This window comes from Homo sapiens, chromosome 22 (genome assembly GCF_000001405.40).
Source record: "Homo sapiens chromosome 22, GRCh38.p14 Primary Assembly".
NCBI lineage: Eukaryota > Metazoa > Chordata > Mammalia > Primates > Hominidae > Homo > Homo sapiens.
In genome coordinates this window covers 15611065-15638000 of record NC_000022.11, presented here as the reverse complement: position 1 = coordinate 15638000, position 26936 = coordinate 15611065, and the positions used below count along the sequence as shown (strand labels likewise).

At 41.2% G+C, this 26936-nt stretch overlaps 4 pseudogenes; all 4 read left to right on the top strand.

The window, feature by feature from the left end:
* Positions 1-6048, top strand: part of LOC124905152 (mediator complex subunit 15 pseudogene 7) — a 42872-nt pseudogene extending 36824 nt beyond the window's left edge.
* Positions 2688-3361, top strand: LOC124905152 (mediator complex subunit 15 pseudogene 7; annotated as a pseudogene).
* On the top strand, positions 5951-15400 carry NF1P6 (neurofibromin 1 pseudogene 6; annotated as a pseudogene).
* On the top strand, positions 24764-26442 carry NEK2P2 (NEK2 pseudogene 2; annotated as a pseudogene).
* Positions 26443-26936: the final 494 nt, after the last annotated feature.

Genomic DNA, 26936 nt, shown 5'->3' with positions numbered 1-26936 from the left:
AATGAAACAAGACGGTGCTGGTGAGAAGCAGGTGGAAGGCAGGGCCACCGGCCACGGGCTGCTGTGAGCTCGGGCAGCACCTCAGAACCGCATGGGCGTTGGCCTATACTTCCCTGTCACCTAAACTCAGGGTGTCCCCCCACCCCCGTCTAGAAGTGTCTCTCTGTTTTGCTTGTCTGGATAGAATGCCAGTCACTATTGGGTGGTCCTCCAGGCCTTCTTGAGTTGATTCTTCATTAGGGTTATAGGACTGAGCAGGACAGGGACTGGCCTAGGTGCAACTGAGGCCTTTCCAGCCTGGTCAGGGTCCTGGCCACTGTCCCTTCTCTTGACCCATTGCCTCACTGCCAACAGGGATGGGCAGCTCCTAGGGGTGAGGGCCACCTGCCTAGACTCTGGGTCTGGGAACAGCTGGTCAGCTGAAGGGAGCTCCTGCAGAGGTTTCTGAGGGCCGAGGCCCAGTGGCAGTGGTTGGGATCCCAGATCCCAGCCTGAGACCTGCCATGTCTCCCAGCCCTCCAGCACAGAGCTCAGCCCAAGTCCCCTCTCTCTGCAGGTCCCCTGAAGACCTTGCCAAAGTGTGAGATCACCCTGGAGAAACTCAAGAATGACATGGCGGTGGTGAGTGGGATGCTGGGGACCCCTGGGGGATCGGGGCTCCCTCAAGAGCTCCTGGGGGCACCACTGGAGGGGCCTTCATGGTCAGGCTGGGTGGGGGCTGGGCCTGATCTGAGACCCTGCCCACCAGGCCTCTTCCAGGCCAGGTTTGCTGTGCTGGGCGGGAACGTGGGAGAAGTCACCCTCTGTCTGTGGCCCCCGTGGGTGCCTCTGCCACCCGGTCCAGAGACAGCAGGGACTCTGGGGAGGACAAGGCTGTGGGGGTGGGGATTATACCCAGGATCGGCCAACATTGTCTGCACAAGGGTGGAGGCTAAGAGAGAGGCCTCGGGAATCTGGCTGTGAGTGAGGACTGGCCAGAGGTAGGAAGGCCCCCTAAATGGAGAACCCTCAGGTCCCGGGCTTCTGACCGTGCCCATCCTACCGCCAGCCCGCTGCCCCTGGTGCCGCTGACCAAACAGCAGTACCTATGCCAGCAGCTCCTGGATGCTGTCCTAGCCAATATCTGCTCACCCTCTTCAGCCATTCCCTGTACCGCACATTCGCTCCAGCCATGACTGCCATCCACGGCCCACTCATCACATACATCCAGCTGGGCTGGGCTTTACAGAGGGCGGATGGCCAGCCCTGGACCATGTGTGCCCACTGTGGTCACCATGCTGCCTCCTCACGTCCACAGTGGTGTGCACCCGGAAGCACAGGCTTGAGGACGATGAGCGGCAGAGCATCCCCAGCATGCTCCAGGGCGAGGTGGCCAGGCTGGACCCCAAGTGCATGATAAACCTGGACTCTTCTCGCTGCAGCAACAATGGCACCGTCCACCTGGTCTGCAAGCTGGGCGAGCGTCCAGGAGGGCCAGGCCGGCACAAGTTAGGAAGCCTTGTCCACAGCACCAGGTCTCTGCCATCCGAGCCGGAGGGCACCGTGCCCAGACCCCACCCTGTGTTCACACCCCAGCAGGCTGTCTGCTTTGTCTTCACATACACGGAGCCCAGGACAGACTGGCCATGCCTCTGCCCCCACGCACCCTCATCTCCCCAACACAGATACGGCTCTGCTTGCCTGGGGCCCTAGGGAGGTGACAGGCAGGACCTCTGGGCACCCATTGACGCAGGGCACTCTGGGCTTCAGGTTTGGAAATCTGAGAGTCAGAGAGACATCCAGGCTTTGCCGCAAGCCTCACCAGAACCTCCCGGGGTGTGAAGAGTCCTGTTCGGGAGCAGGGCTGTGAGGCGGGGCAGGCCAGGGCTCGTCCGGGTCACAGGTACAGCCTTGTGTGTTGCAAACGACAAGGACCTCCCAAGTGTGCCACCATGTGCCCACCCACTACCCTGCCCAGAGTCCACTGTGGATGGACTGGCAGTGGCTATACAGTGGGCAGACCCAGAGGAGCTGTCTGGGGGCCCAGGGCAGGCAGGGGTCATTCTGGAAAACCAAGCTTCTAGTGCTGCAGGGACAGCCTCTGTGCCCCTCCCCGGCTCAGGCCCCTTCCTCCCCTCTTCTGGCTCCTCCTGTGTGGAATCTCTCAGGTTCCAGTGGTAACCTGAGAGATAGGAGTCTCTGCTCTTCTGTGTCCCTTTGCCCCTTCATCTTGTGTCCGGTCAGCTTTCCAGGGTGGCTGTGTTCAGTGGCTGAGGGGTGAGAAACCCTACGCCTCAAGGACAGACCCCGCTTTTCCCAGAGGCCACTAGGGAGCTCAGTGGAGCTGACAGGTCCTACCAGTAGCTTGGGCACACAAGACCCCATCTGGGTGATGTGTCTCCAAAGAGAGTCATGTTGACAGGAGTCAGTCTCCCTGAGCCCAGAGCTGGCACATAGCAGAGCCAGGGCTGGGTCCCCAAGGTTGTCAGAGGCAAAGCCTTGAGCTCCAAATCCCGTTCAGATTCAGTTCTTCACTGATGATGAGGCTCCGGGAGGAGAGCCTGATGGCCAGGCAGGCAGCGTGCAGGGATCCTCCTGGTGCTTCAGCCAGTCCTGGGGCTGCCACTTCCCAGAGCACTGCCGGGTGTGCAGGGCGTGGGTGCAGCGCCAGCTGCCTCAGGCTCATGCCCACTGTTCGGTTGCAGGCACCAACCCCTTCCTCAGGTCGATGCACCACCGCGTGACCTCCAGGCAGCTGCAGCTCCCGGACAAGCACTAGGTTACCACCTTGCTCAGCACCTGTGCCCAGAGCATCCACAAGGCCTGCCTCTCGGCTGCCTAGCCAGGACTGCAGGGATGGCCCGCAGCCTCATCGGGGCCAAGGATGCATGCCTCCTGTCAGACACTTCTAGATGTTGGCGTCCATGGAGAGCCTGGAGTTAGGTTAGCTTTCCTCCTTTTCTCTCCTGCCTTGGGGATCTGCCAAATGAAATCCCACACTTGTACAGACTGATAGGTGCGCAGTGGAGTGTGCTGCCTGCAGGGAGTTGGCTGTCTTCTTGGAGAAGGCACTCCATGTGACTTCCTCCATGAAGCCAGACACAGTCCCCAGCCACGATCCTCGGGCTGCTCTCACCACGGCCTGTCCAGGGTCCGGGTGCATCTCAGCAGCATGAGGTTGTGCTCAGGTTGTTGTTAGCGCGTCTTGTGTGTGCTCGACACACCCCTGCTGCTTTCTATAGGAGAACACAGAGGACATAGGAAACCCTTCAAACACACATGGGACTCTCTGCTCACAGTTTTGGGTTCAGGCTGCACTGCTTTGGGCAAGTGGGGCACCCCCTAGGGAAGCCTCTGAGTCCAGGGCACAGGATGCCTCTTTCAATACTTGTTTTTTTTCTCATACTCAGGATCTATACTGTAGACTTTATAACACTGTACCCTTAAGCTACACCAAATTTATTAAAAAATATTTTTTCTTTGATAATTAACTTTTCTGTAGCTTTTAAAATTTATAAACTTTTAAATTTTTTAACTTTTTGACTTGCAATAACAGCTTAAAATACATTGTACAGCTAGCTGTATAAAAATATTTTTCTTTATAGCCTGTAAGTTTTTTTATTTGAAAAACGTTCTATTTTAATTTTCTTGAAAACTCTGTTAAAAGCTGTGACACAAACATATACATTAGCCTAGGCCTACACTGGGTCAAGATCATCAGTGTTACTGTCTTCCACCTCCACATCTGCTCCCATTGGAAGGTTTTTAGAGGAAATAACGTGTGGATCCAGCTGTCATCTCTTGTAGTAACAATGCCTTTTTCTGGAGTACCTCCTGAAGGACCTTCTGAGGCTGTGTTTCATAGCTAACTTTTTATCTTTAAGTAGGAGTATACTCTAAAATAACAATAAAAAATATACCATAGTAGGCTGGGCCTGGTGGCTCACGCCTGTAGTCTCAGCACTTTGGGAGGCCCAGGCGAATGGATTACCTGAGGTCAGGAGTTGAGACCAGCCTGGCCAACATGGCAAAAGGCCTTCTCTACTAAAAATACAAAAAAATAAGTCAGGTGTGGTGGCTTGCAGCTGTAGTCCCAGCTACTCTGGAGGCTGAGGCAGGAGAATTGCTTGAACCCGGGAGGCGGAGGTTGCAGTGAGCTGAGATCACGCCACTGCACTCCAGCCTGGACAACAAAGTGAAACTCCATCTCAAAAAAAAAGTATATTATAGTAAATACATAAACCAGTAACAGTTATTTATTCTCATTATCAAGTATTGTATACTATACATAATTGAATGTGCTATACTCTTTTTATATGAATAGAAGTGAAAGTTTGTTTACACCAGCATCGCTGCAAACAAAAAGTAATGCATTGTGCTTGGACATCATGATGGTTATGTCAGTAGGTGATAGGAATTTTTCAGCTGTGTTACATATTGTCTATCATTGTCTGAAATGTTGTTATGTGGCAGAAGACTATTTACTTTTTTTGGAAATTATTCTTAAATAAGGAAAAATTCTGATATCTACTACTTGTTCTCTGATCTTATCTTCCTGTGCAATGGCTGCATTAGAGAAGAGTCGTTTGATAGTTACACTTAGTTACGTCAAAGTAAATACATTTGTTTAATCAAAGTTTCAGCTTGATCTAAGGTGAAACACCTCAACTTAGAGTGAGGAAAAAATACAGTTGAAAGAGAGCAAACAGTAAAACCAGCATTTGTTAAATCATTTAGTAAAACATTTGCCTAGGGGTTAAGGGGCAGTTATAAATATAAAAGCAAACTATTTGTAAGTTTTGCTATTTCTCTTCTGTTGTGACATTCTTGAATATAAATGTGTGCATTTAAATAGCTATTCTTCCCTTCTGAGGACTACAGCCCTTCAGTGTTCTTGGGTATAATAACAAACGCATATTTCACTTAAACACAGAAGATGGTTCATTTGTGTTGTAGATATGCATGTCCGCTTTTTAACTTTGAAAGACAGCCTGTTTACTTGGACATTTGTATTATGGGTCCACAGTTGGTACACAGTCTACTATTTCTATGTTATATATATGTTTACATAAAGGCATTCATGTCAAAATCAGATAGTTTTGTGTTCTTTTAAAGAAGAAAAGGAAGGAAATATGTTATAATAATAGGTGATATTAGATCTAGAATATAATTGTTGGATTTTTGGTTGAAAAACATCTATGATTATTTTAATTCATCCTATGTCTCTGTAATGGAAACATATTTTCCATAAGTTTTACCTTTCTCTGAATTCTTTCTGTTTTATGAATGTTCTTCAGGCAAAATGCGTGCATTCTGTAACTCAAAAGAGATGGAGTGCCATCGAAGGAAAAAGCAGATTTTACAATTAAACTAGTAAATACAGAGATTGTCTAGATAACATATTTCATTAATTCTAAGGAGCACTTATTTTTACTCTTCTCTGAAATTGGGAGTGTATCGTATTTTAGATGGTGTCTTACAATTGACAGTGTGTTTTCATTCCTTTTGGGACATCAAATAATGCTGCATCTTAAAACGGACAATACTGTAGAGTCTGTGAAATACTTGCGTATATGTGTGGGGAGTGTTTGTTAATGAGTTACCCGGTGTGGAGATTTGTGAGAACTATAGACCAAATATTTTTTCCCTTATGTTTTTACATTTTGGAAAATAGTTTTTTAAATAGGAGGCTTTTTACAACCTGATATTAAGCTTTGAGTATTGTAGTAGATTTTCATTGTTTCATTAGATTGATTAAAAAATAATATAAATGGTGCAAAAACAATTTCCATTTTGTAAGCTTAATAATACTGACCTTATGCTTACTATTGAGTGTTTCTACTTATACCACACATTTGGTAGTATAAAAATAGCTTTTTTCAAAGTTTTCTCATAATAAATTTCTTTTAAAAGGTTGGATAGCTATTATCCTGAGTCTTATGTCTGATACCATGTTTTTGTTTTGTTTTTAGAGTCTTATATTTAAAGAAAAAGTAACAAGCCTTAAATTTAAAGAAAAACCTACAGGCTTGGAGACAAGAAGCTGTAAGTATCTTCTCTTGTCCATGGTGAAACTAATTCATGCAGATCCAGAGCTCTTGCTTTGTGTAAGTGTTTTTTTATGAAATACGTCAAAATTACCACACTAAGTTCATTTGGTTTAACTGAAACGCCAAGACCTTGAGGGTAATTTTTAGCTCAAGAGCACTTACTGATCCTTTCTGATCGTAACTGAAAACTAAGACGTCTCTAAGAAACCTAATGTATAATGAATACTGATATAATTAGATCAGATTCTTAATTGCCCTTACCATTTCTTAACATTTCTCTTTCTTCTTAATTTCCGTATCATTCAACTGACATGCTTAACATAACTAAGCTTCTCTAAGCTGGTATTCATTATGGGAGAATGCCGTTCTTATGTCTGGTTATATCTGCATTAGGTTATTGTTGATGCTAGTGACAATAAATTTTATGTTACTGCAGCTCACAAGTGTATTTTTACATCTGCAAGAAATTAACTAGTCATTAAATGCTTAGTAGCACAGAAATTCTCAAGTGGTTGCAGGAAATTTTGATCTGCAGGAATAAATTTTTTTCTTAAAAATAAGATAAACGAAATGACATCTTTAAAAAATGGGAGAATATTTGGAATGGTGATGGGGAGAGATTAAGAAAGTGTTTTATAGCCAAATTAGTTTCTATTTCAGCTCCTCCTTCCCCCCAAGGTTCTCAAAAGGATATATATGTGCAGAGGACAAGGGCTGGCAAATTAGCATTTTAAAAATTATTCTGAAGCTTTGGCCGTAAAACCACACTGTTGATGAATTCTAGTTCTAGTTTGAGTTAAATAGGTCTCTATGGGACAGGCCTAGGAAAAGTGGGGGCTGCTATAACCAAAGTAGCTTGAGGAGCATATTCTATCTTTACTCTCAAGTTCACACATAGACATAATTCATACGTAAAATTTAACATATAGCTTCTATAATTAATCTAAGAATTCTATTATGGCATAGATTTGGGAGTACTTGATTTAATGAGTTTTTTGTCCAGTTCTAGAATCATAGCTCTGAGAAATCATAAAGGCCTAGATGTCGTGGCTAGACTAGTCCAGAGAATTATCTATCAAGAAGCAAAAGGGAAAAGGTTGAGGGTCCTCAATCTAGGTTTATTTCTATGCCTCCAATAAGGGTTTCACATCTTGAAAATTTCACGACACTTCTTGGGGTGGAGTGAAATTTTTTGATTCTGCACTATTGAAACATGGTGAGGTTGTGGCAGATAGAGAAGAGTCTTACATTTCTTTTAACATATAGTTTCTATAGTTAATCAATTTAGGAATTCTATTATGGCCTAGTTTTAGGAGTACTTGATTTAATGAATTTTTATCTGGTACTAGAAGCATAGCTGTGAAAAACCTTAAATGTATGAAACTCATATCCTTTTCAGTATTATACAGCTTGTTATTAATAAATTGTCTCTGTTTAGAAATAGACTAATGGTGAAGTGGGTTTATTCACATCTGGCTTATTTGATGTGTTAATGTAGCTGAATTTGGCATTATTCCAAAGATTGGAAAGAGATTAGACTTCAGACTTTCGTGCCCTTGCCTATGGCATAATCTCCAGAATATGAGTATGAGGAATCCAGTAATGAATTCGTAGTGCCCTGGTCAGCACAGTCACTCTTGTGATATAGTTGGTGTATATACCAGGGTTAATTACTGGTCCAGAAGAACTTAATCTCAAGAGTCAATTTCTAGTTATCCCAACATGGCACGGATAAAATCTTGCAGAAAAAAAATCTTTGTCATTGAGACCAAATTATAGTTTTCATACAGTGGATTTACATTGTTGATGTTTTACTTATGTTTATGTTAGACTTACTTTATATTTGTAGAATCTACTGTTTCTGATTATTTAGAGAATGGGAAACTGAAAGAAATTTTAAAGACATTAAGTGAACATTATTTGTTCTAATGGGTTTCTAGTGAATTTCCTTCAAGGTGGGGCATAGAGATTGAGAGGAGAGGTTTTCTAGGAGAGTCTCAAACAGGAAGACAACCGATATAAGTGTTTATTCCTCTTGGTTGTCAGTGCGTCAGTAAAGCTTCTTTCCTTCTTTTTTCTAGCAGGCAGATAGAAGTTCATGTCACTTTCTCCTTTTTTATGGAGTAGGATGTGATACTCCTTCTAGTGGAAATACCAATCAAATGTCCATGGGTCATGAAGTGTCACTATGTACTCCTGAGCCTCTCTCCAGAAGGGAAAAGGGAACTCCTCTATGGTCTGCTTCTTTTGTAATTTTCCTGTATCATCTCGTGTGCTCTATTTGTTTTCTGAATGAACTTTGGTAAATTTCATCCAGGTAATATAGAGTAATAGTGAAAAACTGCTTAGACTCTAGTTCTATCACTGCTCTTTATGGAATTTTGGGCAAGTTCTTAACATCCTTGTTCCTCAATTCCTCAACTTTAAAATGGGGACAATAATAATTCCTGCTCCAGAGTTGTTGTGAGGGTTAAATAAAAAAATGTGTAAATAGCACTTGACACATACAAGCTGTATCTGATAACCTCCACCTCATGAAAAACCATTCATAGCATAGAAGTATAGAATTTGTACCAGCTAACAAAGGTACAGATGTACAGGGATAAAAACAAAATATTTTGTTTCATGTTAAAGATAAGTGTTTCTGTGATTTGCATTTGTGTGTATAATTTCCTTTAAATATAAATCATATTTCAAGTGAAAATATCGGGTCATTACAGAAGAGTTTATTTTCCAAACCAAAACTTTTTTCATCCCTAATTTTTAATATAGCCTTGTTAAAGAAAAAAAATCTAAGCAGTATGCTATTTATTATTGTCTGTTTTACTTGCAGAATTTGAATGTATTTTGTCAATTATTTTCTCCATTTCATGTTTGGGGAATAGGTCATTCAGAATCAAGTCTATCTTCTACAGCAATATTTTGTTCTTGTTTATGCCCTTGTTTCAATGAGTGTCGCAGTGTACTTATTTTATTACTTCCCTAGAGCAAGTAGATAGAATTTCCTGTTACTTCCTCTGTTTTTGTCATTTGTAATTGACTGGGAAGTACATTATATAGTTACTGCAGTAGATTTATGTTATGGTGTTTTACCTGTCCGTGTTAGAATCGGTTTCCATTTCTGGAATCTGGAATAGGATAATACCTATTTTATTTGAAATTGGACAGATAGTAGCTTTATGTTGGTCCAGATAATCTCATTTCTCATTTGGACAAGATATTTTGGGGTTTGAAAAATTCATATAATGATTAAAGGAGAAAGCTCTTATGAGTTATTGTATGCTGAGATATATGTGGACACACACACACACACACGCAGTTTATTGCATTGTTGGGTTTTATACATAAAATTACCCAAGTTGCAAATATATGTCTACCACCCTTGACTCTCAGGATAGTGCAGCAGGATGCAGCGGAACCCCCCTGACTTGCTGACAAGCGCAGACCAGTCTAGAAGTGGCCCTGTACATGTTTCTGCGGAACCCTGACACTGAAGCTGTTCTGGTTGCCATGTCCTGTTTCCGCCACCTCTGTGAGGAAGCAGATACCCGGTGTGGGGTGGACGAAGTGTCGGTGCGTAACCTCTTGCCCAACTCTTAACACATTCATGGAGTTTGCCTGTCAGCAATGTGATGTCAACAGGTAAATATGAATAGTGGTTTTTTTACTCAACCTCCCTAAAGCACATGGCATCTGATTGTGAGAATGTATTTAAGATTACACTTCTGTAAGTTTACAGGAGAAATTCAAGTAGCTTACTTGAAATCCTTTTCTGAACAAAGTAAGATGAAAATAAAAAGCGTTTGAAATAAATTGTTAGTCTCCCACTGAGTTTTTAATGTGCTATAGATTTTAAAATTAACTGGCAGTACGTGTTACTATCAGTTATGACTATGTAATTTACGTTTGTATGACTATGTAATTTATGTTATCCATATACATAGTCAAATTACATATGACTATGTAATTTATGTTATCCATAACTCCGTATGTTATGGATAGTGAAGTTTACACACATTGGCATTTGTTTTGAGTAAATTATAGGTGGGAATAGCTATTTTATGCTGTGGACATTGTAGAGTCTAAGATAAGTACCTTTCCTGTGAGGTTAGTGAACGGAAGTTTTTGGCTTTATCATTTGAGGCATTTGCTCTGCTCCTCCTACTCTGCCTTTTGGGTGGGCTTATCAGGTTGTCCATTGGCAGGCAGGGCTCTAAGTGCAGTAACTTGATTTGCTGTTGTAGTTGCTTAGGCACAGCAGCACTTCCGAAAGAGTGATGGCACTGCTGAGGCGCACTGAGCATCCCACTGCAGGAAACACTGAGGTGTGCTCTAAGCAACAAAAACACCTCTCCCAGGCACCCACGCTCGATTTTGGAAGCCTCTTGTTACATATGTGTGATCAGGAATAGCTTTGAAGTAAATCCAAGATACGTGCATATTACAAGTATAATATCTGAGTACTTAATATATATCAAGTTTGAAGCTTGGCTGTTGCTGATTGATGTTTAGCTCTAGACTTAAAGTTGCTTTCAAGTGATAACTGTCTTCATTTTAGACTTGGGAAGATACACATGCAAAATGGGAACAAGCAACAAAACTAATCCTTAGCTATCCAAAAGCCCAAATGGAAGATGGCCAGGTAAGTCTGTAAAGTTGACTTTTGTCTATTAACTGATCTGCTAAATATATGTCCTTCTCTTTGGTAATCTTTCACGAGTCACTCAGTAAAGTAAGCATATAGTTGTCTGAAAACTGATATTTAGTTGTGGTTTATCTAGACCTGTACTTTGTAATATGATAGCCACTAGCTACGTGTGACTCTTTAACTTAAATTTTAACATAATTAAAATTAAATACAGTTTAGTTCCTCAATCATATAGTAGCCACATTGCAGGTACCCAGTAGCCACATATGACAGGTACTTACTCTGTTGGACAGCAGAGAGAAAATGTTTCCATCATCACAGAAATACTGGGCAGCACTGCTAGAGACTGTTTGTTGCAAAGACCATTTCTTTATCTTTTCTTGCTCTTTCTCCCTTCATCAGGGTGTTTCACAGAATTTTCAGAAAAGGAGCAACAGAGGTAGAGAAAAATTAACATGGAAACCATTCATTTTGCTATTTTGTTAGGTATTCTAATTAAAGAATGTCTTGGGCAGAAGATGGAACCCATAGATAAAATAAAATTTTAAAATATGGACAGTTCCTTCAACTATTACTATTGACTATATTATCCATTACTTTGGAAATTGATGAGTTGGTGTTTGTGTGTATATGATTTATAATGCTCATATTGCTCTCATTATTAGGTGGTTTATAAAAACTGGCTCTTCCCCCATGTTATTTTTCTGTCATGCTTAATTATAATAAGAAAAAAGTTATATTTTCGTGAAGCAAAATTGTGTACCTCATACCTTTATTTGGAGGGGACATGTAGCTTTAGAATGAAAGCTTTTGGGGGATAACTGTTACTATAATATATAATTACATACCATACAATTCACGCATTCAAAGTGTCCAATTCAGTGACTGTTGTTAGCATATTCACAGAGTTGTGCAACCATCACCACCATCAGTTTCAGAACAATTTCATCAATTGAGAAAAAAAGCCGGTATCCTTTAGCTATCTCTGCCTCTAACAACCCCCCACCTTTCTTGTCTCTCTTCCCCCCGCTTCTCCAACCCTAGGCAACCACGAATCTACTTTGTCTCTGTAGATTTGCCTATTCTGGATATTTTCTGTAAATGGAGTTTTAGAATATGTGGCCTTTTACGATTAGCTTCTTTCACTTAGCATAATGTTCCCAAGGTTCATCCGTGTGAAATCAAAGCTTTTTAAAAGAAATTTGATACTTTGGCAATTATATTAGTGTATGACAAAAATAAATCAGTGGCTCTTTAAAAATGTATATGGTAATTTAGGGGGTTGATTTTAATGTATTTTTTTACATTTTTTTGTACGTTTGTCACGGAAGAAATGTTGGATAAAGAGTAATTTGTCAAGTCTCAACTAATTTAGGTTTAATTCATGCTTTGCACAAAAATTTTGTGTTTAGGCTGTTGAAAGCTTCACAAGACCATTGTTAAGAGGCGAATGTCCCATGTGAGTGGAGGAGGACCCATAGATTTGTCTGACACAGACTCCCTACAGGCATGGATCAACATGACTAGCTTCCTTTGTGCCCTTGGGGGAGTGTGCCTCCAGCAGAGAAGGAATTCTGGCCTGGCAACCTATAGCCCACCCATGGGTCCGGTCAGTGAACATAAGGGTTCCATGATTTCAGTGATGTCCTCAGAGGGAAACGCAGATACACCTGTCAGCAAATATATGGATCAGCTGTTGTCGTTAATGGTGTGTAAGCTTGAGAAAGTGGGACTTCAAATACGGACCAATGGTAAGGACCTGGTGGGTCTAGAATTGAGTCCTGCTCTTTATCTGATGCTATTTAACAAATTGAAGAGACGCATCAGCAAGTTTTTTGACTCCTAAGGACAGGTAAAGTGTGCTCTTTTTTATTTTTCACCTTTCCCTATGAATAGAGTGACTTGTTTGAAATAATGAAGCCTTTTTCTTTCAGATTATTTAAATTAGGTACTCACAGTTTTTAAAAATTGTCAAAAAATTGTAGAAAGAAGAATCATCTCAATGAATGGTCAGCTTGCTTCTAGGAACTCTGATGTGTATGTGTGCCTGAGGGTATACGTGCCTTGTATATGGGTATGAGTGTCTGTGTATATCTGTGTGCCTGTTTGGCTGCGTGCCTGTGGGTGCATGTCTCTATTTGTGTGTTTAGATCAGTCAGTTTCATCTCTCTAGGGATCTGTCTTCTGGGCATTGATGGCAAATCATTAATATATTTGTTCTCTCTATAGGTTTTATTGACTGATACCAATACTCAATTTGTAGAGGAAACCCTAGCTATATTGAAGAACTTGCTAGATAATCATACTGAAGGCAGCTCTGAACATCTAGAGCAAGCTAGCATTGAAACAATGATGTTAAATCTGGTCAGGTAAGCCTTCTACTGAAATGTAGCAGAAACATACTTTAAGATTTAAGAGACAAGAAAAACCTGTCACACATTGATATTGATAGTAATTGATAAAATAATTTGCCATTCTTTACTGCACACAAACTAGGCTGTGACAACAAGGTAACCAGAAATTGTGTATGCTCTCCTATAAATAAATGTCTTACTGTTTTCAAACTTACGTTTAGTTCATTTTATTTGATGGTTAAAGTATTTTGAATGCCTTATCTTGTGTCTGTATCTGATAACTTTTTTATTGTCTCTATGTCTGTATAGGTACGTTTGTGTGCTTGGGAATATGGTCCATGCAATTCAAATAAAAACGAAACTGTGTCAGTTGGTTGAAGTAACGATGGCAAGGAGAGATGACCTCTCATTTTGCCGAGAGATGAAATTTAGGTGAGTTCTCAAAAGAGCAATGTAGGGTCTTGTAAATCTTAATTTGTTGAATGAAGTACAGAAATAGAGTAGATATCTGGTTATTGGTAGGAAGAAAGACATAAAAAGAGAGCAGTTTACATGTTTGTTTTTCTCTGTGTCTCTCCTCAAATTTCCCTAAGCTTTGTGCCTGTGGCAAGCCTCCCTTTTTCTAAAACTCTGCTGTACTTGAGCTAAGAATTTGATTCTGTTTCCAATCTGATAGCATAACTAAAGGCCATGATGGAGGATCAGTATCCACGTTGCTTGTTCCTTCTGGCTTTTACATCTATGATAGCAGTATCTCTTTTATAAAGTCGTCATGTCACCTGGGTTATCTGCCAAATTATTTGCACCATAAGTAATCTTACATCACTGAAGGTGTGTGTGTGGGGGGGTATGACTTCAGAAAAATTGTGTGCTGTTTCTCTTTTCTCCACCATTCTATAGGAATAAGATGGTAGAATACCTGACAGACTGGGTTATGGGAACATCAAACCAAGCAGCAGATGATGATGTAAAATGTCTTACAAGGTAAAAAAAATGACTTTCAAATATTAGTGGGTTTTACTGTGAGAATTATAACTACTTCATTACAGCTTTATACTTGTATTTTATGTGTATTTAAACTTTTTAGATGTAAAACTTTTGTGTTCAAAATATGTAAAGACACTAATCTTTATTACTACTTTTTCTTGACCGATAGACTTTCAGGAAAAATAAATGTGCGAGAGCGGTATGTTTGGGAAGTTATTGTTGTCAGTTTATGAAGAATAGTCTACAGTTATTGGGAAATAAGATACATAAAGCCTCAGATTGCATTTATGTTATGATGAGATAGATAAAGGTATTATTTGAGAAACTCATTGTGTTGAGTCTAAGAAACAATTGATTTCCTGATTCAAACACCAGAGATAGACCAAAAAAGGAAGTAATTAAGTCTACTTTAATGATAAATACTTATTGACACATATCAGAAAGTGATTAAACACTATGGACTGTATAATAAGCATTTACATATGTTTCTTTGACAAAGCCTAGCTTTATAATACGGTCGTCTCTCAGTATCTGTCAGGGATTGGTTCCAGGAACCACCCCCCAAACTCCTGCCCACATCTCACTCCCATGAACACTAAAATCCACAGACTCAAGTCCCTGATACAAAATGTCATAGTATTTGCATATAAACTATGCACATCCTCCCATATATTTTAAATATTTTTAGATTACTTATAATATCTAATACAATATAAATGTTATATAAATAGTTGTTATACCATATTGTTTAAGGAATAAAAACAAAGAAAAATCTGTACATGTTGAGTATTTGAAATCCAGGAGATTAGGTTGGACTTTCAATAAATGGTGTTGATAAAACTGAGTAATGATCTGGAAAAATATCTTCATACCATTTATGAGGATAAACTCCCATAAATCAAAACAGCATGGCAAAGCAAGGCCTTTTTCATCCATTCAAAATCCATAAGCTAGAAAGGAAAAGATTGATAAAATGAATTCATTCAAAAATCATAAACTTCTGTCTGGGACAAAAATGTCATGAGTAAAAACAATCCTATGGTTAATATCCTCGTCCAATAGTTCTCTTAGAATAGTCCTAAAAGTGCTTTTGTGGCTCAAAGAGCAATACCTTGAAATTTTTGGTGCATGTTGTCAGATTACCCTTTAGAATGCCTGTTGCTTTTAAAATATTTTTTATTTTAGTATTTTATTGTTTATCCAATTATAGACTATTTTACATACTCAGTAGACAACATAAAGCCTCAGAGGTACTCTGTTCTTTTTCTTTTAGGCATCAGGTACCTGAAAAAGAAGAGATCAAGGCTTTGAAAACGTTAAGTATTTTCTACCAAGCTGGGGCTTCCAAAGCTGGGAATCCTATTTTTTATTATGCTGCACGGGGTAAGAAATACTATGTTTGGTGTCTCCTCTCAACAGAATTTTTTAAACGATAGCAATTATAGAGATGGCAAGTTTGGTTTTTCATATTTGACTTAACAAGAATTGAAGACAAGTTTACCTGGGAGCATACAGTGGGTTAAATAGCCTGCCTTTCCTAAAATGGTGGTCAGTATCTAGTAACTGCTTTTCAGACTACCCATTTCATATTGGTTTCCCTGTCCTACATCATTTTTTAAAATACTGCCTACAATGGATTAATTACCAAGAGTTAAAAAACCACAAAGCATCTTTTGTTTTCAAGTATATTCTGATTAAATAGTACAACATGATAAGCGGGAACTTTTTTTAAAAGAAGAAATAAAACTGTAAGAGCCTGTTTCTGAGAACTTTTAAAAATATGCTGTGTAAGACAGCATCAGGGTGATTTAGCAAATAATTCAAAGGGGTGGTGGGAAATCATGAAGATGGTGCAAGGGGTGGCCTGGAAAATGGTGCTTGTTCGTGCTGCCCTCAGTCGAGGCTGGTTCCTAGAAAGCCTTTCTGGAAATGTTGTGAGCTCTTCCTTAATAATAGATATGATGCTTGCATTGCCTTCCCTATCATTGTCTTTTTTTCTTGCCTCATTTTACCTTCCTTTTGAAAACTCTTCTGTGACATTATTTGGTCCCATTTACCATAACATACATTCATGGTAATTGAGCCTTAGAGACAACATGATACGTATAGAGACCACTGATTTTGGAATCTCAAGGATCATGTTTAGACTTAGTTCTGCCAATCATTAGCTATAGACTTAATCTTTACCAGTTTCCTGGATTTAACAGTGTTTAACATCCATGACCGTTAAGTTAGTAGACGTACATTGTTAGTCAATTTGCTGGCCACAGGTGGCAGTGTGTAGGAAACAAATTGAGGTTGAGAAATAGTGGAGAGGCGGTGAAGAATCAGTGGAAGATGGGAAACTTGTCTAATTAGGTCATTCATATAGCCTTAAGACCAAGAAGTCCAAAGGACTGGAGCATTAGGGAATCAAGAAAGTAAGAAAATTGTGTCGAACCTCCCCGCCCCGCCCTTTAACAATTCTAAGTAACCCCTTCTCACCTTCCCATGAAAGGCCTCTCTCCAGCTCTTATCTCAGTTGCTATTTCTAAATTGCCTAAGATAATTTTAATTTTCTTTTTTTTTTTTGGATTTTAGCATTCTAATTTTTTTTTATTATTATACTTTAAGTTTTAGGGTACATGTGCACAATGTGCAGGTTTGTTACATATGTATACATGTGCCATGTTGGTGTGCTGCATCCATTAACTCGTCATTTAGCATTAGGTGCATCTCCTAATGCTATCCCTCCCCGCTGCCTCCACCCCACAACAGGCCCCGGTGTGTGATGTTCCCCTTCCTGTGTCCATGTGTTCTCATTGTTCAATTCCCACCTATGAGTGAGAACATGCAGTGTTTGGTTATTTTGTCCTTGTGATAGTTTGCTGAGAATGATGGTTTCCAGATTCATCCATGTCCTTACAAAGGACATGAACTCATCATTTTTTATGGCTGCATAGTATTCCATGGTGTATATGTGCCACATTTTCTTAATCCAGTCTATCATTGTTGGACATTTGGGTTGGTTCCAAGTCTTTGCTATTGTGAATAGTGCCACAATAAATATACGTGTGCATGTGTCTTTATAGCAACATGTTTTATAATCCTTTGGGTATATACCCAGTAATGGGATGGCTGGGTCAAATGGTATTTCTAGTTCTAGATCCCTGAGGAATCGCCACACTGACTTCCACAATGGTTGAACTAGTTTACAGTCCCACTAACAGTGTAAAAGTGTTCCTATTTCTCCACATCCTCTCCAGCACCTGTTCTTTCATGACTTTTTAATGCTTGCCATTCTAACTGGTGTGAGATGCTACCTCATTGTGGTTGTGATTTGCATTTCTCTGATGGCCAGTGATGATGAGCATTTTTTCATGTGTCTTCTGGCTGCATAAATGTCTTCTTTTGAGAAGTGTCTGTTCATATCCTTCGCCCACTTGTCAATGGGGTTGTTTGGTTTTTTTCTTTTAAATTTGTTTGAGTTCATTGTAGATTCTGGATATTAGCCCTTTGTCAAATGAGTAGATTGCAAAAATTTCTCCCATTCTGTAGGTTGCCTATTCACTCTGATGGTAGTTTCTTTTGCTGTGCAGAAGCTCTTTAGTTTAATTAGATCCCATTTGTCAATTTTGGCTTTTGTTGCCATTGCTTTTGGTGTTTTAGACCTGAAGTCCTTGCCCATGCCTATGTCCTGAATGGTATTGCCTAGGTTTTCTTCTAGGGTTTTTACAGTTATAAGTCTAACATTTAAGTCTTTAATCCATCTTGAATTAATTTTTGTATTAGGTGTAAGGAAGGGATCCAGTTTCGGCTTTCTACATATGGCTAGCCAGTTTTCCCAGCACCATTTATTAAATAGGGAATCCTTTCCCCATTGCTTTATTTTGTCAGGTTTGTCATAGATCAGATAGTTGTAGATATGTGGCATTATTTCTGAGGGCTCTGTTCTGTTCCATTGGTCTATATTTCTGTTTTGGTACCAGTACCATGCTGTTTTGGTTACTGTTGCCTTGTAGTATAGTTTGAAGTCAGGTAATGTGATGCCTCCAGCTTTGTTCTTTTGGCTCAGGATTGACTTCGCAATGCGGGCTCTTTTTTGGTTCCATGTGAACTTTAAAGTAGTTTTTTCCAATTCTGTGAAGAAAGTCATTGGTAGCTTGATGAGGATGGCACTGAATCTATAAATTACCGTGGGCAGTATGGCCATTTTCACGATATTGATTCTTCCTACCCATGAGCATGGAATGTTCTTCCATTTGTATGTATCCTCTTTTATTTCATTGAGCAGTGGTTTGTAGTTCTCCTTGAAAAGGTCCTTCACGTCCCTTCTAAGTTGGATTCCTAGGTATTTTATTCTCTTTGAAGCAGCTGTGAATGGGAGTTCACTCATGATTTGGCTCTCTGTCTGTTATTGGTGTATAAAAATGCTTGTGATTTTTGCACATTGATTTTATATCCTGAGACTTTGCTGAAGTTGCCTATCAGCCTAAGGAGATTTTGGGCTGAGACGATGGGGTTTTCTAGATATACAATCATGTCATCTGTAAACAGGGACAATTTGACTTCCTCTTTTCCTAATTGAATACCCTTTATTTCCTTCTCCTGCCTGATTGCCCTGGCCAGAACTTCCAACACTATGTTGAATAGGAGTGGTGAGAGAGGACATCCCTGTCTTGTGCCACTTTTCAAAGGAAATGCTTCCAGTTTTTGCCCATTCAGTATGATATCGGCTGTGGGTTTGTCATAGATAGCTCTTATTATTTTGAGATACGTCCCATCAATACCTAATTTATTGAGAGTTTTTAGCATGAAGGGTTGTTGAATTTTGTCAAAGGCCTTTTCTGCATCTATTGAGATAATCATGTGGTTTTTGTCTTTGGTTCTGTTTATAAGCTGGATTACGTTTATTGATTTGCATATGTTGAACCAGCCTTGCATCCCAGGGATGAAGCCCACTTGATCATGGTGGATAAGCTTTTTGATGTGCTGCTGGATTCGGTTTGCCAGTATTTTATTGAGGATTTTTGCATCAATGTTCATCAGGGATATTGGTCTAAAATTCTCTTTTTTTGTTGTGTCTCTGCCAGGCTTTGGTATCAGGATGATGCTGGCCTCATAAAATGAGTTAGGGAGCATTCCCTCTTTTTCTGTTGATTGGAATAGTTTCAGAAGGAATGGTACCAGCTCCTCCTTGTACCTCTGGTAGAATTCGGCTGTGAATCCATCTGGTCCTGGGCTTTTTTTGGTTGGTAAGCTATTGATTATTGCCTCAATTTCAGAGCCTGCTATTTGTCTATTCAGAGATTCAAATTCTTCCTGGTTTAGTCTTGGGAGGGTGTATGTGTCGAGGAATTTATCCATTTCTTCTAGATTTTCTAGTTTATCTGCATAAAGGTGTTTATAGTATTCTCTGATGGTAGTTTGTATTTTTTAATTTTCTTTTGTACTTGAGATGAACCATATTTGCATTCTAACCCCAACCTTTAATACAACCAGGATGTTTTTACTTTCCCTTTTTTGTGTAAGTAGAAAGCAAACATTGGTGAGGAAGGTAGAAGATGTGTGTCCCCTCCTCTTTAATTTTTTTTTTTTTTTTTTGCGACAGAGTCTCGCTCTATCACCCAGGCTGGAGTGCAGTGGCTCGATCTTGGCTAACTACAAGCTCCGCCTCCCGGGTTCATGCCATTCTCCTGCCTCAGCCTCCCTAGCAGCTGGGACTACAGGCGCATGCCACCATACCCGGCTGACTTTTTGTATTTTTAATAGAGACAGGGTTCCACTGTGTTTGCCAGGATGGTCTCTATCTCCTGACCTCGTGATCCACCTGCCTCGGCCTCCCAAAGTGCTGGGATTACAGGCATGAGCCACCATGCCCAGTCTAAAATCTGACTAGTTTACAAATAGCAAAGATTTCTGGAAAACAAAGTTGGGTTGGTTTTTTTTTCAGGATCAGAAACTGTTATATTTGTATTCCTTCTCTGTGGTGATCTAGAAAAAGCTAAAGGAAAGCAGATTGGACCTGCTGTGGATACTTCAGTGAGATTCAATCAGTTCGGTTTCCGTGAAACCTGTTGAGTCTTGTGGCTTGAGAGTGCTAAGGATTCTCAGCTCTGCTGCTTATTAGCTGCATATTCTTTTTTTTTTTTTTTTTGAGATGGAGTTTCACTCTTGTTGCCCAGGCTGGAGTGCAGTGGCACGATCTTGGCTCACTGCAACCTCCACCTCCTGGGTTCAAGTGATTCTCCTGCCTCAGCCTCCTGAGTAGCTGGGATTACAGGCATGCACCACCACATCCAGCTAATTTTACATTATTAGTAGAGACGGGGTTTCACCACGTTGGCCAGGCTGGTCTCGAACTCCTGACCTCAGGTGATCTGCCTGCCTCAGCTTCTCAAAGTGCTGGGATTACAGGTGTGAGCCACCACACCTGGCTTTAGCTGCATAATCTTAGATAAGTTTATTTTTCCAAATCTGTTGCTTCATATGTTAAAGCTGGGGTGTGTGCTTATGAAAACTGTCCACCTCTCCTATAAAGTGTTTTGTGACCTATAAAGTTGTGTAAGGAGTAAATTTGAGATTTTCTTTTTTTCTTTCTTTCTCTTTCTGGGGGATATGGCACTGTCAGTTTCAGATTTTCAGTCCTTTTAGCTTCTTACTTAGACCTACTGGAGCTCCTCCTGGCCTTCATTTTCGCCTGGTGGGAAGCCTAGCTCCAGGACAGATGAGTACACAGTACATCAGGGCAGAGCATCCATTTACTCCATTATGAAGGTCTTGTCTGTCTATATGCCATCAGCTTTGTCAAAGAGCACTTGGGTTTGACTTGTCTTTTGATACTCCTCTGTTTCTGCGGCTTAGACTACCATGTATTAAGTGATGCTTTTTGAATTGCGGATTTTCCAATCTCCTCATAGATAGTCCGCAGACGTTTCAGACTTGAAATGTCCAAAACTTAATTCAGTATCTCTTCCAATCAACCTCCTCTTCACACCATATTTCTCTTTCTCAGTAGCATCATCATCTCTTCTAGTTCCCCATCTAGAAACCCTAATCATTTTAAATTCTTTCCTCTTATTTCTTTTTTTTTTTCCTGGTGTCCCCTGGGGTTTGTAAAGCTCTCCAGACATTGAGACTGTGCAGGAATGTCTCACTCCAAATTGGGCGAAATCAGTCATTGATTTTAATAGATTTTCACCAGGTACCTTTTCTGCGTTAAGCAGTGGGTTAGAGGCTAGACTCAGAGATGAGTAAAACCAGACCCCACCCCCTGACCTAGCCCTTCTTGCTCAAGAAGCCAACACTTAGTGAGAGCATCGGAAAGCCTGGTGGGCTTCTGAGCCCTGGGACTGGAGAAGTGGGGGTCCCAAAACCCATTACAAGATCAAAGAGAATAACAACAGGAAACTGCCAGAAATACCCAGTGATGGGCAAAGGGGCCTGTCCACATACCACTTGATGCACAAGAACCCGTGTCCTTACTTGAGAGTACATGTGTGTTCACAAGCACGTGGAGCCCAAGGGCCTGTGCAGCTGTCCATGTGGGGATGGGTATCAGGCTTCTGATTGGGATGCACAAGTGGTGTGGGAGTCTCTTTTTTAATTATTATTATTATACTTTAAGTTTTAGGGTACATGTGCACAACGTGCAGATTTGTTACATATGTATACGTGTGCCATGTTGGTGTGCTGCACCCATTAACTCGTCATTTAGCATTAGGTATATCTCCTAATGCTATCCCTCCCCCTTCCCCCCTCCTCTTATTTCTTTTATCTTCCTCATTGTTAGTCACCAAATCTTGAGTTTACCTGTGAGAGCCTGGGCGATCAATTTAAGTTGTTCCAGTTAGGCTTTTATTGCAAAGCAGTCATTTGTATTTTCTTAAGGATCTTAGGAAAAGCATGAATTAGAGCAGAGCCTACCCAGATATAGAGAGAACTAGATGGCTGTGGGTTCTGGAACTGGCTACACTCTTTGACTGTCTCTTGGTTTTGTGTTCAGCTCCTCCTCATGATTTTCATCTTTCTGTATCCTTTCAGCTTTTGCCCCAGATAGTAGTCCCTTCATTATCTCAGTACTTGCATGTCTAAAATTCCAGAAAGAAAATATGATTCAGCTAAAAAATATCTCTGCTTGGCAGGACCTTTAATGTTAGGTGCTGGCCAGCCAGTTGATTTCTGGTGTCCCTATGTCCAGTATGTGCCTCAGCCTGCCGAGTAGCTGGGATTACAGCCACCACCACACCCAGCTAATTTTTTGTAATTTTTAGCAGAGACAGGTTTTCACCATGTTGCTTAGACTGGTCTTGAACTCCTGACCTCAGGTGATCCGCTCACCTCAGCCTCCCAAAGTGCTTGGATTATAGGCGTGAGCCACAGGGCCCAGCCCACCTGAGGCTTCTTTTTCCTTCCCAAGCCACATCACCATCCTGGTGGAACTCTCCTGTGAGGACAGCCAAGGCCTGAACTACCTGCGGTGGGGAGCACCTCAGGGTTTGCCCAGGCAACCAGCCAGCCCTGGTCCAAGGCATCCTGGAGCGAGTTGTGGATGGCCCCGTGCCCCACCAGACAGTGCGCCTGGAGGACCTGGATGAGAGCGGTGAGCCCCAGGCTGGGGAGCCAGTGCTGCCTGGCATCCTCCGGGCATCCTACCTGGCTGAGGGGCTGGGCCTGGGCCTGCCGGTGACAGCCATCCCTGTCCTTCCTGCTGAGGGGGCAGGCTGTCAAAGCTTATGTAAAAGCAGCTGAAGAAACAGTCACAGCCCATAAGGCAATGCTCCCTGGCCTTCGTTTCCCCAGTGATAACGACACTGCCAGAATATCCCCCTCAGTGCAGTGGCCAAAGTCAGAAAGTGGGATTAGCCAGGCATGGTGGCTCCCAGCACTTTGGGAGGCCAAAGCGGGTGGATCACTTGAGGTCAGGAGTTCGAGACCAGCCTGGAACATGGCAAAACCCCATCTCTACTAAAAATAAAAAATAGTAGGGCGTGGGGGCGCACGTCTATAATCTCAGCCACTCAAGAAGCTGAGGCATGGGATTACGGCTGCCAGAAAAAATGTTGTTGCCCAAGCTAGAGTGCAGTGGCGCAATCTCGGGTCACTGCAACCTCCACCTGCCAGGTTCAATAGATTCTCCTGCCTCAGCCTCCCAAGTAAGTGAGATTACAGGCATGTGCCACCACGCCTGGCTAATTTTTTGTATTTTTAGTAGAAATGGGGTTTCACCACGTTAGCCAGGTGAATCCCAAAGTCCTGGGATTACAGGCAAGAGCCACCACACCCAGCCGATATTTTGAATTTTTAAGGTTCATCAGCTTGGTCATTTGTGTGATCCAAAGTTGTAGGCTTTTTAAAAACATTAAAAATGTTTTCATTTTTTATTTCTTCTATAATTTTAGACACATATTCATTTTTATTTCTTCTGCAGTTTTAGCTACATATCCCTAAGGTCATACAGCTAGTAAAAGCTAAGATTCAAGCCCAGGTCTTCTCATTGTGTTGCTTCTCCAGTACTGCACTACCTCTCCAAGATGCTTTTGATGGTATCTACAGGATTGCTAAGACCATATAAGGGAAAGGGCTTTGTAAACTGTGAGGCTTTTTTATGTAAAGCAGAACATGATGTGAGATTAAGAAAAGTAAATACTAAAGGAGAAAAGGATGATAAACCCATTTATATAGTCTGTCAATTTAACTTTTTTTAATCTTTTTTTTTTTTTTTTGAGACAGAGTCTCGTTCTGTCACCAGGCTGGAGTGCAGTGGCACGATCTCGGCTCACTGCAACCTCTGCCTCCCGGGTTCAAGTGATTCTCCTGCCTCAGCCTCCCGAGTAGCTGGGACTACAGGCACGTGCCACCACTTCCAGCTAATTCTTTGTATTTTTAGTAGAGACAGGGTTTCACCGTGTTAGCCAGGATGGTCTTGATCTCCTGACCTCGTGATCCACCCGCCTCAGCTTCCCAAAATGCTGTGATTATAGGCGTGAGCCACCCACGCCCGGCCAAGTTTAAATGTTTATTTTAATGTTTGTGCAATAACGTCCAGTTTTACCAAGCAGAATGATCTGCACAGGAGCTTTTATGCAGAACTCACTGTTCTTCAGTTAGAGCTTATTACTCTTAATAGTGAAATCAAATCCATCTTCAGTTGCTACATGGCTTTGTTAAACAGTTAAACTTGAGTTGGAGATGCTCTGTCGTAGGGAGGAATTTTCGCTCCACAGATGTGTTCATATAATGTATTTTCCCCTTTCCCCTGTGGAAACTTTGTGGAAAGATTATTTCAGTGTTAACCCTGATTGATATTTTAGTAATTAAACAAGTGTCTGTTACTCCTTTATCAAGCATTTAATGAGTGTCTTCGGTGTGCTAGGCACTGCACTAGACTCTAGGGAGTCAAGGACGAATCACACTTAGTTTCTACCCCCTGGGAATTCATTCTGGTAGGAGAAATTGTTAACAAAAAATTATCATCCTATGGGATATTTTTTTAAAGTATGAAATGAGATAATGTATGTGAGAAAACTTTGGAAGTTTTACACATTTAGGATTTTTTTCTCCAGTGCATAGCCTGATGCCTGACATATTTTAAATGCTCATTATACCCTTGAATGAATTGGTGAAGAGCCAAGAGTTATGAGAGCATAATACTAGAGTGTAGATGGATTAGTTCTGCCTGGATGGACAGGTGGGATGCGGAGGCTTCCAAGAATACAACTTTTGAACTGGACTTGGAAATATAAGTTGTTTAAGAATCGAGAGAGAAATGGGGCCGAAGGCAGGGGTGGCAGGTCAGTGCTGCTCGGGGGCTTCTCCATCCAGGTCCCTGGAGCTCCCGGTCCCTGGAGCTCTGCACTTGGGGGCACAACTTGCGTGAGGCAGCGTGACTCTGGCGACTGGCTGGCCATGCCGTCCCGGGCTGAGAACTATGAAGTGTTGGACACCATTGGCACAGGCTCCTCTGGCCGCTGCCAGAAGATCCAGAGGAAGAGTGACGGCAAGATACTAGCTTGGAAAGAACTTGATTATGGCTTCATGACAGAAGCTGAGAAACAGATGCTTATTTCTGAAGTGAATTTGCTTTGTAAACTGAAAAATCCAAACATCGTTCATTACTATGATCGTATTATTGACCGGACCAACACAACACTGTACATTGTAATGGAATATTGTGAAGAAGGAGACCTGGCTAGTGTAATTACAAAGGGAACCAAGGAAAGGCAATACTTAGATGAAGAGTTTGTTCTTCGAGTGACGACTCAGTTGACTCTGGCCCTGAAGTAATGCCACAGACGAAGTGGTGGTGATCATACTGTAGTGCGTCGGGGTCTGAAACCAGCCAGTGTTTTCCTGGATGGCAAGCAAAACGTCAAGCTTGGAGATTTGGGGCTAGCCAGAATATTAAACCACGACACGAGTTTTGCAAAAACATTTGTTGGCATACCTTATTACATGTCTCCTGAACAAACGAATCACATGTCCTACAATGAGAAACCAGATATCTGGTCATTGGGCTGCTTGCCGTATGAGTCGCGTGCATTAATGCCTCCATTTACAGCTTTTAGCCAGAAAGAACTCGCTGGGAAAATCAGAGAAGGCAAATTCAGGCGAATTCTATACCATTACTCTGATGAATTGAATGAAATTATTATGAGGATGTTAAAGGATTACCATCGACCTTCTGTTGAAGAAATTCTCGAGAACCCTTTAATAGCAGATTTGGTTGCAGAAGAGCAAAGAAGAAATCTTGAGAGAAGAGGGCGACAATTAGGAGAGCCAGAAAAATTGCCGGATTCCAGCCTTGTATTGAGTGAGCTGAAACTAAAGGAAATTCAGTTAGAGGAGCAAGAGCGAGCTCTCAAAGCAGGAGAAGAAAGGTTGGAGCAGAAAGAACAGGAGCTTTGTGTTTGTGAGAGACTAGCAGAGGACAGACTGGCTATACCAGAAAATCTGTTGAAGAATTACAGCTTGCTAAAGGAACAGAAGTTCCTGTCTCTGGCAAGTAGTCCAGAACTTCTTAATCTTCCATCCTCAGTAATTAAGAAGAAAGTTCATTTCAGTGGGGAAAGTAAAGAGAATGTCATGAGGAGTGAGAATTCTGAGAGTCAGCTCACATCTAAGTCCAAGTGCAAGGACCTGAAGGTCCTTGCTTCATGCTTCATGCTGCCCAGCTGCGGGCTCAAGCCCTGTCAGATTTTGAGAAAAATTATCAACTAAAAAGCAGACAGATCCTGGGCATGCGCTAGCCGGGTAGAGAGACACAGAGCTGTGTACAGGATGTAATATCACCAACTTTTGGAGACTGATGTTCAAATGCTGTAGCATTACATACTTGGTTCCATGAGCCGTGCCTTTTTGTATAGTCCACATGATATTTCAGAATTGGTGTTGCTGTTCTTCAGCAACTGTTGTACAAAATGTTCACATTTAATTTTTCTTTCTTCTTTTAAGAACACATTATAAAAAGAATACTTTCTTGTTTGGTTGGGCTTTTAATCCTGTGTGTGATTACTAGTAAGAACATGAGATGTGACATTCTAAATCTTGGGAGAAAAAAATAACAAGAAAAAAATATTTAATCAGGAGTAGCACTCACTGCATAGTTTTAAATGACTGAGTGGTGTGCTTACAATTGTCATGTCTAGATTTGAATTTTAAGTCTGAGATTTTAAATGTTTTTGAGCTTAGAAAACCTAGTTGGATGCCATTTGGTCATTAATACCATGACATCTTGCTTATGAATATTCCATTGCTCTGTAGTTCAAATCTGTTAGCTTTGTGAAAGTTCATCACTGTGATGTCTGTATTCTTTTTTCCTTTTTATTCTGTTTAACAGAATAAAAGAATTCTTTAGATTCCCTGTAAAAAAAAAAAAAAAAAAAAAAAAAAAAAAAAAAAAAAAAAAAGAACCGAGACAAGCGGTTCTGCCGGGGCAGC